Source organism: Homo sapiens, chromosome 1 (genome assembly GCF_000001405.40).
Source record: "Homo sapiens chromosome 1, GRCh38.p14 Primary Assembly".
Lineage (NCBI taxonomy): Eukaryota > Metazoa > Chordata > Mammalia > Primates > Hominidae > Homo > Homo sapiens.
The window spans coordinates 233,252,048-233,267,945 of record NC_000001.11 but is presented as its reverse complement, the minus strand read 5'-3'; the positions used below and the strand labels follow the sequence as shown (position 1 = coordinate 233,267,945).

The 15,898-nt window shown below is 39.3% G+C and overlaps 1 protein-coding gene across 6 annotated transcripts in view, besides 4 other annotated features; it reads left to right on the top strand.

Annotated features, from left to right (window-relative positions):
* Positions 1-15,898, top strand: part of PCNX2 (pecanex 2) — a 343,895-nt gene that overhangs the window by 59,384 nt on the left and 268,613 nt on the right. For 5 of the 6 annotated variants that reach the window (XR_001737430.2, XM_047430870.1, NM_014801.4 and 2 more), the window contains exons 2-7: positions 4,783-4,988; positions 5,781-5,901; positions 6,625-6,661; positions 8,602-9,918; positions 15,158-15,305; positions 15,447-15,592. Coding sequence is in view for 5 of the 6 variants with exons in the window: in NM_014801.4 (NP_055616.3) it covers positions 4,783-4,988; positions 5,781-5,901; positions 6,625-6,661; positions 8,602-9,918; positions 15,158-15,305; positions 15,447-15,592 (1,975 nt within the window). In the remaining variant the exon portion in view is untranslated. Of the gene's footprint in view, positions 1-4,782; positions 4,989-5,780; positions 5,902-6,624; positions 6,662-8,601; positions 9,919-15,157; positions 15,306-15,446; positions 15,593-15,898 lie in introns of those variants that run through there. The other variant, XM_047430871.1, reaches the window with a different exon arrangement.
* Positions 6,310-6,389: an enhancer, noted in NCBI's record as "active region_2739". NCBI's record gives its function as "activates an Ori minimal core promoter by ATAC-STARR-seq in GM12878 lymphoblastoid cells {active_cell/tissue: GM12878}" and the evidence as "EXISTENCE:reporter gene assay evidence [ECO:0000049][PMID:35858748]".
* Positions 6,420-6,539: an enhancer, noted in NCBI's record as "active region_2738". NCBI's record gives its function as "activates an Ori minimal core promoter by ATAC-STARR-seq in GM12878 lymphoblastoid cells {active_cell/tissue: GM12878}" and the evidence as "EXISTENCE:reporter gene assay evidence [ECO:0000049][PMID:35858748]".
* Positions 8,887-10,086: an enhancer, noted in NCBI's record as "BRD4-independent group 4 enhancer chr1:233393606-233394805 (GRCh37/hg19 assembly coordinates)". NCBI's record gives its function as "activates an origin of replication core promoter dependent on BRD2, P300/CBP, MED14 and CDK7 cofactors, and independent of BRD4, by STARR-seq in HCT116 cells {active_cell/tissue: HCT116}" and the evidence as "EXISTENCE:reporter gene assay evidence [ECO:0000049][PMID:35650434]".
* Positions 15,617-15,817: a silencer, noted in NCBI's record as "peak771 fragment used in MPRA reporter construct". NCBI's record gives its function as "represses an SCP1 promoter by STARR-seq MPRAs in K562 erythroleukemia cells {active_cell/tissue: K562}" and the evidence as "EXISTENCE:reporter gene assay evidence [ECO:0000049][PMID:32103011]".

The following is a 15,898-nucleotide window of genomic DNA, read 5'->3' as shown; positions in this document are numbered from 1 at the left end:
AGCAAGACTGTCTTAAAAAAAAAACTAAACATCGAATTATCATGTGATCCAGATATTCCTCTTTTGGGGTATATACTCAAAAGAACTGAAAGCAGGGCTTCAGATATGTGTACACCCATGTTGAGAGCAGCGTTATTCACAGTAGCCAAAAGGTAGATGGAACCCAAATGTCCACCAATGGATGAATGAATAAACAAAATGTGTTCTAGCCATACAATGAAATATTACTCAGCCTTAAAAAAGAAGGAAATTCTGACACAGGCTACAGTGTGGATGAGCCTTAAACACATTATGCTTAGTGAAGTAAGACAGTCACAAAAGGTCATGTACTATATGATTCTAATTATATGATTTATCTAGAGTGGTCAAAATCATAGAGACAGAAAGTAGAACGGTGGTTGCCAGGGGATGGGGGGTGGGGAGAATGGGGAGTTAGTGTTTAATGGGTACAGTTTCAGTTTGGGAAGATAAAAATTCTGGAGATGGATGGTGGTGACGGTAGCACACAGGCAAGTGTAATTATCACTCCTCAGCTCTACATTTTAAAATGGTTACGATGGTAAATTTTGTATTATATATATTTTACCACAGTAAAACAAAAGTTTTTTTTTGTTTGTTTTTTGTGAGATGGAGTTTCGCTCTTGTCGCCCAGGCTAGAGTGCAATGGTGCGTGCGATCTTGGCTCATTGCAACCTCTGCCTCCCACGTTCAAGTGATTCTCCTGCCTTAGTCTCCCGAGTAGCTGGGATTTCAAGCATGCACCACCACGCCTGGCTAATTTTTGTGTTTTTAGTAGACTGGGTTTCATCACGTTGGCCAGGCTGGTCTTGAACTCCTGACCTTAGGTGATCCGCCCACCTTGGCCTCCCAAAGTGCTGGGATTACAGGTGTGAGCCACTGTGCCTGGCCACAAAAGTTTTAAAGAAAAGAGAGAAAAAAAAACAGAGTAGTGACTGTGAGGCAGCTAGAGCTATGAGCCTGAAGAAACAGACAGAGGTGGGTCCAATGGGAAGAACTGTAACTGCTTAGTTGGTAACAGTGTGTTGTTTTTCATGAAATGTTGTCATAAAACCTTGGTCAAATGAGTCATTATAATACTAGTTATATTAATAATGGGTCAGAAAACAACATAAAACTTTTCTTTGGCCAAGGATATGATGTTGAAAAATGTTGCCTCCCATTGTTAACTAGAATGTGTTAAAATGAAAAGCTCATAGAAATAAGAACTTGTAATTTCCCTTAGAACAAGAAAACGGCTATTCAAAAATATGAGTATACCTTACATCAAGGGGAAAATTTAGGAACAATTCATAACTGCTCATCTATGGCGAATCCCTTCCTAAGCCTTCTTTCTCTGCCTGCATTCACACCTCTATGGAGAGAAAATACTGGAAGCTAGAGGTCTTCTGTTTCCTGAGTATGATGATGTCTGCAGTCAAATGGCCTTGCAAGTGATTTTCAGGGATGTCCCTGGGCATGTGGAATTGGAGGAGCCTCGGAAGAGCATAATTGCATGGCGTAAGAAAGGAGTGTTTGGAGATGCTAGATTCAATTTGGAGGGTCTACTGAAGGGAGAGGTATTAATTAATTAATTAATTATGAATAAGACAGGGTCTCTCTATGTTGTCTAGGCTGGTCTTGAACTCCTGGGCTCAAGAGATCCTCCTGCCTCAGCCTTTTGAGAAGCTCGGATTACAGGCACGTGCTGCTGCACCTGGCTAGGGAGAGGTTTTTAAAGGAATTAAGAGATCAGGGAGTTTGGGGAGAAACAATGTACCATGCATAGCATGCTGTAAAACCTTTCTTCCAGAAAATTTTCAGTAAAATCTCTGTCTCCCACTATGGTCTGGTCAGGTCCATGGGCTGCAGATATGACAAAGTGCCAAGTGGTCCTTTATAGAGGATGAGGCAAGGGCCTGTTCTCACTTGGGTTGCTAGCTAGATGCTAGTACTCATGGTAACTTCAAATTCTAACTTCTTGCCCTCACTTAATTTCAGTATTACCAAGCTTACACTATAGCCTAAATTTATGAGGATAAACTGAAAAGCAATATCTCTCTGAATATTGGGGCATGCCAGTTTTTTTCTAAGTGAATTTTCCCAAGAGCCCTATACAATTTTTTATCTCTTACTCTTCTTCCCTTCCATTCTTTTCTCAGTGCCTTAGGGTTTTCTCAATTTATCTCTAATCTAATTTGAATGGAAGATTCCTCATGAAAATGGACCCCCCTGTTATTAATTAAGTATTGCTAGCTTCCACAGCGGCCACAACTCCAAATCTCAGTGGTTTAATGACTCAAAAGTTTACTACTTATTCCGTTATGGGCTCATCTTGTGTTTATAGGGGCCTTGCTCCGCAGAGTTACTCAGGTACCTAGTCTGAAAGAAACTGCATCATCTTATAGACATATCATCTGGAAAACATGTCTTCTGAGGTCACCAAGTAAAGAGGAAAAGAGTGGGATGCGGGAGGCACCTAGCTCATAATTGTCTAAGCCAGCACTTGTGCTCATTGTCCATTGGGCAAAAGTAGTCATATGGCCTCAGCCTCACTGCAAGAGAAGCTAGGAAATGAAGAGGAGAGGATGGAGTATTTAGTGATCACTAACTCTCTTTGCTACCCTTGCTGACTAGAGTACTATGAAACCCTAGTTACATGAAAATTCAACAATCTCTTGAATATAATTCCTTTTTTTTTTTTAGAGAGGGTCTCACTTGGTAGCACAGGCAGGAGGAGTACAGTGGCATGATTATAGCTCACTGTAAACTTGAACTCCTAGGCTCAAGAGGTCCTCCCACCTCAGCCTCCCCAGTAGCAAGGACTATAGGTGCATGCCACCACACCTGGCTAATTTTTAAATTTTGTAGAGATCGGAGGGGGGGTCTCACTATGTTGCCCAGGCTGCTCTTGAACTCTTGGGCTCAAGCAATCCTTCTGCCTTGGCCTCCCAAAGTGCTGAGATTACAGGCATGAGCCACTATGCCTGGCGGAATATCATTTTTATATAACAATAATCTGTTTTCACGGACATCTGCAGGTTTTCTTTTCCTTCTTACCCTCTTCAAATTAACTCTCTAGATTTAGCTTAAATTTTTGAAACCCAAAACTATTAGTAGTATTTAATTTAGTGGTATTTAAATTAGTAGTATTTTAACGTATTAGTAGTATTTAGGATGTAAATATAAGGTTTATATTTACAAATGCACCTTTTGTAAATATAAACCTTATCTGCTGCCAGGTAGTGGACCTGGCTTTATTATCTAGCTTGTATCATCTTATATAGTTATTCCGTCACTTATTTATTGCTTGCTTTATATTTATTTGTGGACTTTTCCCCCCATGACATAATAAGAGCGAGTTAAGTGATGGTGAAAATCTCTGACTTTATCTTTTACTTGTTGATCATCTTCCTCTTTCTTTTTTGTGCTCTGTTTGGCTATTCCATTTTAGGGACAGTCCAACTTGGAAGATAGACTCTTGCATGGGACCACGGCAAGCTGTACAGGGTCTGCTTAGGCATGGATATGGACTGGGCCCTGCTGTCTGCAAGCCTAGCTATGTTTAGGTTGAGGCACCAGCTACACGGATCACTGGATTTCTGATATTCTTTAGGGAAGTCCATTGATAAAATGGTCTTGCGAATCATTGAGGCTGTCCTGGATATCACCTTGGGACACTTGGGGATCTCTTTCCATCCCAAAGAATAGGAATGTAGTTTAGGAAGGACCAGAGAACGTGTGATAGTCCATGGTCCTGGAGAGAATTAGGAAGGTATATGGGAGATGCTACAGAGTGGGACAACTCCACGGGTCCCAGTGATTCTTTTCGTTTTGTTTCTTGAAGGGATTGCATAGAATTGAGCTGAACCTCACTATGGTCGCCATGCTCAGATCATTTGTCTCTGCTGGAAATATCCCTCTTCCTTTTGGAAGTAGTACCCTTTTGTGGTTCCCTGTGTGCAATACAACCCTAGGGAAATCCATGGCCTGCAGGCGTTATCGCAGTGGGAGGTTAGGGAGGGGAATGGGGGAGTGGTTACCCTAACCTTTCTCCCTTCTTTTTCCTTCTGTTCTCCACAAGGCTTTTTGTGTTTTGTTGTTGAAAACAAAATACATCTCTGGCCTTTAAGATGAGCTGCATAGGAAGATGCATTGGATTAGGCCATAGATAAGAGCTTATCAAACATGGAGGCCGGGTACAGTGGCTCACACCTTTAATCTCAGCACTTTGAGAGGTCGAAGTGGGCGGATCACCTGAGGTCAGGAGTTCGAGACCAGCCTGGCCAACATAATGAAATCCTGTCTCTATTAAAAATACAAAAATTAGCCGGGCATGGTGGTGAATGCCTGTAATCCCAGCTCCTCGGGAGGCTGAGGCAGGATAATTGTCTGAGCCCGGGAGGCGGAGGTTGCAGTGAGCCGAGATCTTGCCACTGCACTCAAGCCTGGGTGATACAGTGAGACACTGTCTCAAAAAAAAAAAAAAAAAAAAATGGAGAGGTTTCCTCGAATATATCTTTTGTTCTGTGGGGTTCCTGCCTGCAAATCAAATGTTGGTTATCAGTGCAACTACTACAGAACCTGAGAAACAAAAAAGACTTCAAAAAATAAAAAGCAGCTCTTTCTCCTCAAGTATTTTAACCAGGAAAACTTAAAAAATTAGTCTAATTTGAAATCTTGCCTAATTTATATTCAATAGATAGTCTAAAAATGCTTCCAGATTTAAAACAGAAAGAAAATCTTAAAAGCAAATGATTTTTCTCTGTCTTTTCCTTTCTTCAGGCTTTTCCTCCAAATGCGATCATTGTATTTTTCTACTGCAGTGCAGTGACTATATTCTTCACAATAATCAAACTGGTCAGTTATCGCCTACACCTCATGTTTGACAAAGGAGAAGTAATTCAGCAAAAGCCCTCCAGAAAGGAAGAAAAGCCAAATAAAGACAAGGAGGCCAAAGGTGAACACATAACTAATCACAGAAATCCAAGGTAATATTTTCAATTAATGTGACACTTCAAAATGTAAATGTTTTGCTCTTGATTAAAATAAGTTTTTTATCAGTGTTTATGAAATTACTAGTATAGGCAGACAGAAATATATGCATTTTTCTTATATTTCAGCATATACTTAAGCATAAAATTGATATTCATAATCAAGATGGTTTAACTGGCTTCCCAATAAATGTCTTTTTGGGAAGTCAATATGACCTTCTCATAAGATCTAGAATTCATTTGCCTTAGGCTTAGCACTGCAAAAAATTTCCCTTCACTGCTTTTAATGTTGTTATTTAAATGCTTAGAGCATGCCAGAGTATTTTAAAGAACAGCATTTGTGTTTGTTGATATAAAAGTAATACATTACATAGAACTGAAATATTAAGAGTAATTCTTGAGTTAGCATTCTTTTCACCATTCTTGTATTATTTCTTATAGCTCCTTAAGATAGCATGTCCTCTAATTTAAAAATAATGTTTATTATAAGATTTATCTGCTGCAGATGGTGGCTTATGCCTGTAAACCTTGCATTTTGGGAGGTTGAGGTGGGAGGATCACTTGAGTCCAGGAGCTTGAGGCTGCAGTGAGCCATGATCGTGCCACTGCATTCCAGTCTACCCAGACAGAGCGAAGCCCTGTCTCTTAACAACAACAAAAAAAGATTTATATGTAAGGAATATAACAAAATGGACTCTAGGAAAAAAAGTTTTTAGACTAGTACTAAAAGAGTCATGCTTCTGTTTGATAATATCGCTCACTGCTCTTGTGTTTCTCATGTTGGGTTAGCAATAATAGGCAGATTCACAATGGCAAAAAGGAAGAGGCCAGTCGAAACCTCTCCACGCCTCCCCTCCGCTGCAGCTCCAGAGGGCAAAGCATAACCTCTCATCACTCTTCTGGGCCATTGGTTAGTGGTCTTCTTTCCTGTTTCACCCTCTTCATGTGATTTCGATGTTGATCTCACCTAGAATGGGAGTGTTCAGCAGCAGTGATTGTAGCTTGCATGCTGTAATCACTGGCCCGTGTACAGTGGAATATCACATCCCAGGGTCTGGAAATGGCCTGAAGGGTGCCCTTGGGACCATAAAATAAATGCCCAGTCGTGTGTTCAAAGCACACTCTCTGGCCTTCCCTGCCGTCCACCTGCGCTGCTGGGTCAACCACACTGGGCAGAGAACCAATATGTAGGCCTTTGCTTCTTTCTGTTGTCATTCATTTAAGTCATCATATCTGCAGTGCCTTCCACCTGAAATGGATATCACCTCTGCTTTCCATTTTAAATCACACTTGTCTTTTTGGGAAGTCAATAAATCACCTTTTTTCTAGATTAACTTTGTTGAGCTCCATTCACTATAGTGTAAGTAGTGGCTTCTTCCTTCTTTGCTTACTTTCTTAGTAGCAAATCTCCCTTTGTCACAGTACAGTTGTCTCGGTTGAATGTCCACATTTACATATGTTTGTATCCATTCTGGGCCCCATTTTATAGAAGCTTAAGGAGAGTGAACACTGTATTGTCTCTCCCCTACATGCCATTTAGAAAATCAGTGACTGCTGTCAGTTATTGCCGACTGTCTGGAAATGGACGGTCAGCTGAGTCATCTATTGATTTTTGTTTCTTTCATTTGTGTAGGAGTTGTCAGCACAGGAAACTGTAGAAGATCTCAAAGGTAAACTGTTAATCATTTATATTTTATCACAGCACTATCCTCAGTGAAGTGAGAAATATTTTTATAAAACAGAATGCCAGTGGATTAATTGAAAATAAGAACTATACCTAAGACTGCATAGTTATATTTTGACTTTGTTTCTTTAACTCTTAATTTTAATTTTTTCTCATCGGTATTTGTATATCAAGTCTTAATTCAAATTGTGATATTTTGTTGATCATAATTCATTGTCATTTCTCCAGTCTATGCCTCATTTCATATGGCTTATAAAGAGCAGACATATAAGTTTTTTATTGATGATAAATTATCATCCATATAAAAATTTGTATTATAGCATATACATCAAAAAATGACAGGATAAATTGTACAGCATTCTGCATATCTGCCTTTCTTTCAAGTTACAGATTTTGTTTTGGGGGATCTTTCTTTTAACTTAAACAATTTTTGTTTTACATTTTTACTAACTTTTTTTTTTTTGTCTTTTGACTACCTGCAGAAGGCTTAGAAAAGATCTTTTGGAGGCCTGAATTAATTCCTTCCTTTCTCTGCAATTCTATTTTCTTTTCCACTACTACAAAGACAAATTTTGTGCACTATTTCAATTTTGAAAATAATGTAAAGTTTAATTCGCTCTAGAAAATAGCTGAAATTAGCACCATAGCCCTGAACCCCTAAAATGAAGTTTCTTTTTTCATCATTCAGTTGTATCCCATTATAACAATATGTAAAGGATTATCCATATTTTTTCTATATTATTGCTACTGAAATAAATTCACATGAGTTAGACTTCTAATATTTTAGTTGCACGTACAGCTTCATAACAACGTTACTTTATGTGTTTTATATACACATATACAAGCACATACCTTTTTCTTCATATGAAACATATTCTTCCAGATTAGGTGTGCTATAATAATCTTACATACTTTGAATATCTGGTCTGGCCTTTTAATTTCACCATTCCAATTAAAACAATAATTTTCTATTTTTTACTTGTACTAAGAATTGCAGTAGAAGTTTTACATACATTATTTCATTCTGAGTCATAGTATGTAAAATGTACAGGTAGCATTTAAACCCATACCTGGCTACTAAATCCAGTGTTTCTTAGCAACACTGCAGTAAAGCAAAGAATTCTGTTTTTTCCTTAGTCAAATCTTATAAAAGATACCATCCTAGTTGGTGGTGTTCTACAGTATTTTAGGGGATTTGGTTCCAGGACCCCCGTGGATAACAAAATCTGTGGATGTTGCTCACGTCTCTTATATAAAACAGCATAGTATTTGCTTGTAACCTACACACATCCTCCTGTATACTTTAAATTATCTCTAAATTATTTATAATACCTAATACAATGTAAATGCTATATATATAGTTGTTATACTGTATTGCTTTTCATTTGTTTTATTTTTATTGTTGTGTTTCAAGAATAATTTCACAGTGGGAGTGTTATTTTAAAAAATAAGTATCAATGCAGCCGTAAATAAGAATGAGTTCATGTTCTTTGCAGGGTCATGGATGAAGCTGGAAACCATCATTCTCAGCAAACTAACACAGGAACAGAAAACTAAACTCACTCATAAATGGGAGTTGAATAATGAGAACACATGGACACAGGGAGGGGAACATCACACACTGGGGCCTGTCAGAGGTGGGGGGCAAGGGGAGAGATAGCATTAGGACAAATACCTAATGCATGCAGGGCTGAAAACCTAGATGACGGGTTGACAGGTGCACCAAACCACCATGGTACATGTATACCCGTGTAACAAACCTGCATGTTCTGCACATGTAACCCAGAACTTAAAGTAAAATTAAAAAAGTATCTAATTCCATTAGTTGCTGGTGCTGTTTTAGTTTTGTTATTATTCATTAGGTCTTGCTCTTGGGCATTACTCATTCATTTCTGATGCTAATAAAGTTGCCATGTGTCATTTCAGGTGTCATTCTATTAGAAGACCATCCCATAGCACCAGTGTCATCTACCTCACCTGGTATCAAAGTGGAAAGCTTACCTGCGTCTCAAGCACACATGCTGGAAACCACGACCAAGTCAGTAATACCTGTAAAACCAGTTGCCACAGAAACTCTCATCAATGGTAAAGGAAAGGAAAGAGGAGGCAAGGGGCAGCCTCCTTTGCGCCACAGATCCGAGGGTGGCTTAGTGGATAAGGGACCCTTGAAGAAGTTGCCCCACCTGTCTTTGTCTCAGTATGACTTACTAGAAACAGACGTTTCTTTCCAGCCGTGGGGGAGTGAGAATTCAGTCCTGATTCCAGAACCTGTCAGTTGTCCCCGGGGCTCCATAAGGGAACGGGTACAAAGCAAGTCACCTCAGGACAGCCTGAGCAGCAGCTGCCCTCAATGTGACACCATCGTGGCCAAGCCTGTGGAGGAGCCAGCAGACACATCCTGTCAGGTAGATACCTCCTGCCAGGGGGACCTGCCCTTGCACCAGGAAGTGGACTCCTCAGATAGTGAGGTAGCTGTTACTCTCATCGATACTTCTCAACCCGGAGACCCACTGAGTCTACATGAGCCCATAAAAATTGTTATCACGATGAGCAGTACCCCAAACTCCATGACAGATTTGGAAAGCTCCCTCCACCTGAGGGTGGTTGGCACAGAGAAGACCAGTGTAAAGTCTGACGCTGAGCCCACTAACCCAGGGGCGGCCGGTTCTCCAAATGCCGAGCAGATCTCAATTCCTGTAATCACCCTGGACCTGCCTGAGGGTGGGGGAGGAGGTGTTCCCTGTCCCGAAGGCAATGGAAGTGAAAGGACTCCAGAGAGACTGAAGACGAGGGTATCCACCAATCAGTGTTCTGGCTACGGATCTGGGGAGGGGGGAAATGCCATCAAGGATCACAGTTCTTCATCACGGGAACCCTGGGAATCGGTGTCCCGGCTTACACCTGATACAGGCTCCGAGTCTAAGGTGGGGAAGGAAGGCCAGACTAACCTTGACCCATCGTCTTGTAAGTCCAGCCATGAAAAGAGGCATGCCCGGGTGCTCAGTGTGGACAGTGGGACAGATGTCTTCTTGAGTAAAAGTTCTGCAGAAATTGTTAACGATACAGAGAAAACAATGCCAACTTCCAAATCTGACCTAGAGGCTAAGGAAGGACAAATGCCAAATGAGTCCAACTTCCTGGAATTTGTCTCCCTGTTAGAATCCATTAATACTTCCAAGATGACGGCATCCAGTCAACTGAATGGCTCAGCTGAGCAGAATGAAGAAAGTGGGCTTCTCCGAGGTGCGATTCCATGTCATTTCCGTTCTGATGATGACATAGAAGGCAATACACCTTTTTGCCATTTGCCTTGTGTAATTTGATTTTGCAAATAGTGAGACAACTCTTGGGCAATCGTTTGTTGCTTGGCTTTCTCATCAATATTTGCTGAATGTACCGATACTAAGCTCTGTGATGAACATGTATACATATATTGTCCTACTCTACCAGGACACTTAAGGCATTGTCATAATTTTTTTGCTTCCCTATAGAAGGCAAGACTATTTACTCCCAGAGAAATAAGCAATTATATTTTACTACTGTGGCAAGTACTCGCAATAGATATTTCTTACTTTATGGAATAGATGCCTTCTGGGAAAGTTGATTCTAAGACAAATTTCTGTGAAGTGAATCTACTTTTCCTGCTGAGTTCTATTATAAAATACAGAATCCGCTAATTATCCCATGTTGTACACATAATAATAACAAACACTTCTGCCGCTCTTAATTTATGCCAGGCAGTGTTCTAAGCACTTTGCATGTATTAACGAGGGTGACTGTACCTTGTGGTTTGCCTGGAAGGGTTCTCATTTACACATGTTTTGCCAACATAATTATTAAGAGCACTGACTTTGTCTCTCAAAAGAGTCCCCAGTTTAGATGATAAATTATACAGTTACTCTCATATTAACTCACTTACTCCTTATATAACTTTACGTTATGGATATACCATCATCCTTCCTGTTCTTCGGATGAGTCTCAGAAATTTTCACTTGCTTTCCCAAGTATCTAGTAAGTTCAGGAGGTGCTGGAACTGAGATTTGATTCCAGGCAGTCTTGTTCCACAGTCCTTGCTCATAAAAATTAAATGATATTTCCTATATGAAGATAAGGTACATTTATTTTCAGGTTACTTAATGTCTCTGGGCCTCAGTTTCCTCATGGATAAAATGATGTTACTGGACTAGAGCTTTTATAAGGTCTTTTAGCTTTAAATTCTGTTACTGCTGTGATTTCTGAGCATATCATTTCTACATAGATCTGTATTGAGATAGCATCTGTATGGTAGGAATGCTGACTGAAAGTTGTGTTTGCATATGGTAGCTCATTTTCTGTGCTGTAGGTAGTAACGTTTCTTAGTGCTGGGATTTTTCCTCTGCTTTCTGGACAGCCAGGAGCTCCTCTGGCTCCATACTGGTTGCTCTGAGCAATTTTTTCTGATTCAGTTAAACTTTTTAACAGACAGGGCGGTATATAAAGCAGGAGTAACCTGAGATAAAAACTTTTGTATTTAAAGATTTGGGTGTTTATCATCTATCTAATATAAAGATTCATACCTCTAGGCTAGCACTGTCCAATAAAATTTTCTGCAGTGATAGAAATATTCCATATCTGCAGTCCAATATGGTAGCCAGTGGCCACAGGTAGCTATTTAATACTTTAAAAGGGGGTTGTGTAGATGAGAACTGGCATTTTTAATTTCATTAGATTTTAATTCATTTAAGTAGCCATGTGGCTATTGGCTACTGTATTAGCCAGTGATAACCCAGAGCGCATGAAGGCCTTCCCAGAAGCAGTGTGTCCAGTGGATAGAGCACTGACTTTGGAATCAGATAGCCCAAGGCCAGATTTTGGTTCAGTAATACCAGCTGGTTGAGCTTGGACAATTGATCAAATCCATCTGTGTTGGAGTTTCTTCTACAGAGCAGGAATCATAATATGTTGTAGATTTATTGTGAGGATTCAATTAGGAAAATATGTGAAAAATTTTGCTATTTGATCAATTTTAGTCTTTTATTTTTGTTTTCCCCTCAGGCTGTATGTAAAGTTTATTTGGTTTGCCTACTTGAGTTTTTGCTCTTCTTAATTTTTTCAGCCAGCCACATTCAATCAGAAGGGTTAAACTGGAAATTGAGGTTGTGTGCAGGGAGATATGAGGTATTCTATGGGAAGAGATAGGCTTAGTTATCAAGAACTTGAAGGTACAGCAGGAAGGGAGGAGTTGGAATAAATTACATGCTTCTTTTAGGAAAGGACAGAGGATTTTAATTGAAGAAAGAGACAGTGAATCTTTTAGCTCGTAGAAGGCCATCAACGTCAAAGGTGGCAAATTAGATGGTTTTTCAGTGATGCCATGTATCTTTGAGACTGGTAATATCCTTACTCTTCTTTCACTAAAGTATTTGTTATTATAATCTGAAAACCCAGTTTTTGAGTGTGTTTATAAAACAACATGTTGGGTGTTTAATGATATTAGCAGCTTAGGAAATGTTCTCTAATCTTTTTCCTGCTCATTAGTAGGACAGTGCTTGAACTTGGACCTGACTAGAAAAAGATACACAATTCTCCAGTTCTCTCTAATGTACTCTTATTTCCAGCCCAGGTTCTCTTCACAAAGCGCCTTAGGATTATTCTCAGGTCTCAGAAATATCCTAGAATTCAAGGCTATGGAAAACCACACACTTTTGAAAAGCCTTTAAACCATGTTTGTTTGCTTTTTTGTTTGACACAATTTTATTTTACTTTGTGGAAATAAATGAGGACCGCCCACATGAGAACAAGCAAAGTCTATTTATTCAGAGCTTGCTTATAGCAAGGGAGTCAGCGGTCATCGCTTGGGTTCAGCAGAGACTTAAAGGCAACTTGAATGAGAAAGCTTTATAGTGGAAAAAAAGGAAAGGCTTCGGATGTGCCCTGATTGGAGGTTATGGGCATTAGGAAGCTGGAGGTGGCTGGACTAGGAGTGAGTCATCCTATGTGCTTGGTTTGGTTTGGTTTTCTTTGGGTGGTCCTAAGTTGGAAGCAGGGACAGACATTAGGGAAGCTATCAGTTATGAATCAAGTCCTGGCCATTTCGGGCTAATTATTATGGGGGTTATTGTTTGGCTTCCTGGATTGTTTGCCAGAAATAGTGGTCTGACTTCCTACAAGCCTGACTTGTGCATAGTATATTGGCTTCCTGGGCTGGTTACTCTGGATAATGGGTTGATTTTCTCACCTGGTTGCTGCAGATTATTGGTCAGAGTTCTACGTTTATGAATAGTTTCTGCCTATTGTCCATTTGTATATTCAGTCTCCTAACTTCTAAGAATTTCTAGGGAAAGAATCATGAATGTATATAGAAATGCTTATTGAAAAATTGTCTATAATATGGAAAATTGAAACAATGTAAATTTATAGTCAGGGTCTATTTAAATTATACCATTATCAGTGTAATATTATATAACTACTATTTTTAGATGATGTAGATGAATATCCAATAACATTAAATATTTATAATAGTTTAAGATAAATATAGGTATAAAACCATACCTGCATTATGACTTCATTTTTGTAAAAAAAAAAAAAAGTGCGTATATCTAGGAAAAAGAGACTGGTGTGATATATATCAAATTGGCTCCAGTGGTAATATCATGATGGCAGGATTAAGAGTGATTCAAAGTTTTTTCTTTTGTATAGTTTTAAATTACATACAATGACTGTGTACTATTTTTATAAACAGAAACATTTCTATAAATGTATTTTTTAAGGAAAAAAGGAAAAAAACCGTCCATATGTTGACTTATGTAATGTACCCATTTAAGAGAAAAGGAGTCTAAGATATGATAAAGAGATGTGAACAAATGAATTCAAAGACACTTAGTGTAAAGCAGGAGAGCTGTGTCAATATGCCTTTCTGCGATTTTTTATGAGGCATGATTACTGGCTAAAGCTATTTGTTATGATAGCACTTTCTTATAAATGTGTTTCTGGAAAACTGTGAAAACTTCTATCTTGACAGGCTGTCACATGAAATGCAAACATTTTCATACCAAGGAAATTCTTATGGTAGTTTCACAGATGTGCTGAAAATGTTTATGTTCAGGACTCACAGAGAAGCCAGCATTGCTCCTCTAATTACTTGAAGTTTAAGGATGAATAACTTTGTTATATATGCAAGGATGTGATTTATATCCCACAGACACTAACACAGTTTTGCTTTCTGAGGGCTTAGGCAGATCTTGATAGACTTTTCGAATGGTGTGTCTTGAAAGAACTTGTAGGTTCAGGCTCAATTCTGTTCTCTCAGGCACAGGCTGTTGAGCTTAAGAGCCAATCATTTACTCAGAGTAAGTCATGGGAGTACAATGGTCCTTTTGATCTTAAAAGTGACTGTTGGAATGTGTCCACAGAAAAGGAAGGGCTGATCCTCAGGGACATATGCAGTCCATTTTGCATAATGGTATAACCTGAGACCCTTAGTGGTTTGTTGTTTAAAGAGGATTCAAAAAATGCAAAAAATAAAAACAATCAGTACCTATTGATCTTGGAATTCTCATTCATCTTAAAATGTTCTCAGGGCAAGGAATAGGTATTGTAGCTCTCTGTGTCCTACACAGTGCTAAGCATATTGTTCAAAATCAGCAGGCCGGGTGTGGTGGCTCATGCCTGTAATCCCAGTACTTCAGGAGGCTGAGGTGGGAGGATCACTTGAGGACAGGAGTTCAAGACCAGCCTGAACAACATAGCGTGCCCCTATACCTACATAAAATTTAAAAAATTAGCTGGATGTAGTGGCATGTGCCTGTCATCCCAGCTGCTTGGGAGGCAGAGATAGGAGAGTCACTTGTGCCCAAGAGGTTGAAGCTGCAGCGTGCTATGACTCCACCATTGCACTCCAGCCTCCAGCCTCCAGCCTTGGCAACAGGGCCAGACCCTGTCTCAAACAAACAAACAAACAAAAACAACCCCCGCCCCCAGCTATACTTAACAAGTATTTGCTTTATGAAGGGGACAATTCTAGCTTTAGCTTGAAAATTCAGTTTTGGAGAGTGAGAAGAAAGACTGATAAGATTTATAAATGGTAAAGGGGACCTTGTTCTGAAATAGCCAGATTTGTTTTTGTAATTTTTTAAAATCTGAAGTTATTCATTTATGAGATATGAACCTTTCAGACCTATGTAACCTAAATGGGTGATTTCCAGCTGGGCACATGTATGGTCACCGAGTTATTTCAAGGGAGTCCCTCAACCTGTATATAAAATAGTAGGTGTTTGTAGACACCTAAATAACATGTCTCAAACTTATACATACTTCTGTTTTTCACATATATGTAGGTACTTCCATAATTAAAAAAATGAAAAATTATTTAAAAGCCTTTTGCATGCAGAGGAGCTGCTTAGATTTTCTTTCTATTCTTGTTTCAGTTTTGGTAACTTATTTCCCAGAGTTTTCACATTGATTTATTTTATATTAAATTAACAAGTAAAGCAATGTTTTTCAGATAACTGTTCCCAGGAAAAAAAGGAGGAAATCCTGGAAAATGAAAAGCCCAGTGGACACAGTTCTAAGCAAGGAAAACCAGATTTGCAAAGTCAAGACCATACTAGCACCGGCCCCGCATGCACTCAGCCTGCCAAGACCACAGCCTTGTAAGGATAAGTTACTTAATTTAGTTTCACTTGGTCATAAAGCATGAGACAGCCTCATTTACTGGCTTCTGCTTTTAATGCTTTATCAAGGATAAGGAGGAACTTCTAATCATTTTTTTTGAAACTTTTATATGTGTTAAGTTTTCAGGGCAATAGACAAAGACAGATAATCTACAGGGTAACTTCCCAACAAGATAGTTCTGTCTTGCAAGTCATCAGTGGGCCTGAAACATCTGTACAAGAAGAGATATCTGTGGATGCTATGCATGTCTTCATTGATGAACATGGTGAGTCTTTGGAGCTCTTTACTAATGAACAAGCAGGGAAAACTGTCAGCTTTCTCAGGACTCAGTGTGATACCTTAGCATGAGTACTAGACTTGAGAACTGGAAGACTTAACCCTGTGGTTGCCCACATACTGTTCTTTGAATGGAGTGTGCTGCCTCCCATCTCGGGGCCTTTACACGTGCTGTGCCCCAGTGTGTGCTATTGATTTTTTCAGATCTTAGTCCTAAGGTAAGTTTTTCAGGGACACCTCTCCTGAACTCCCCAGACTTAATCAGTTTCATCAGTTTTTGTTGTTCTCTTAACAC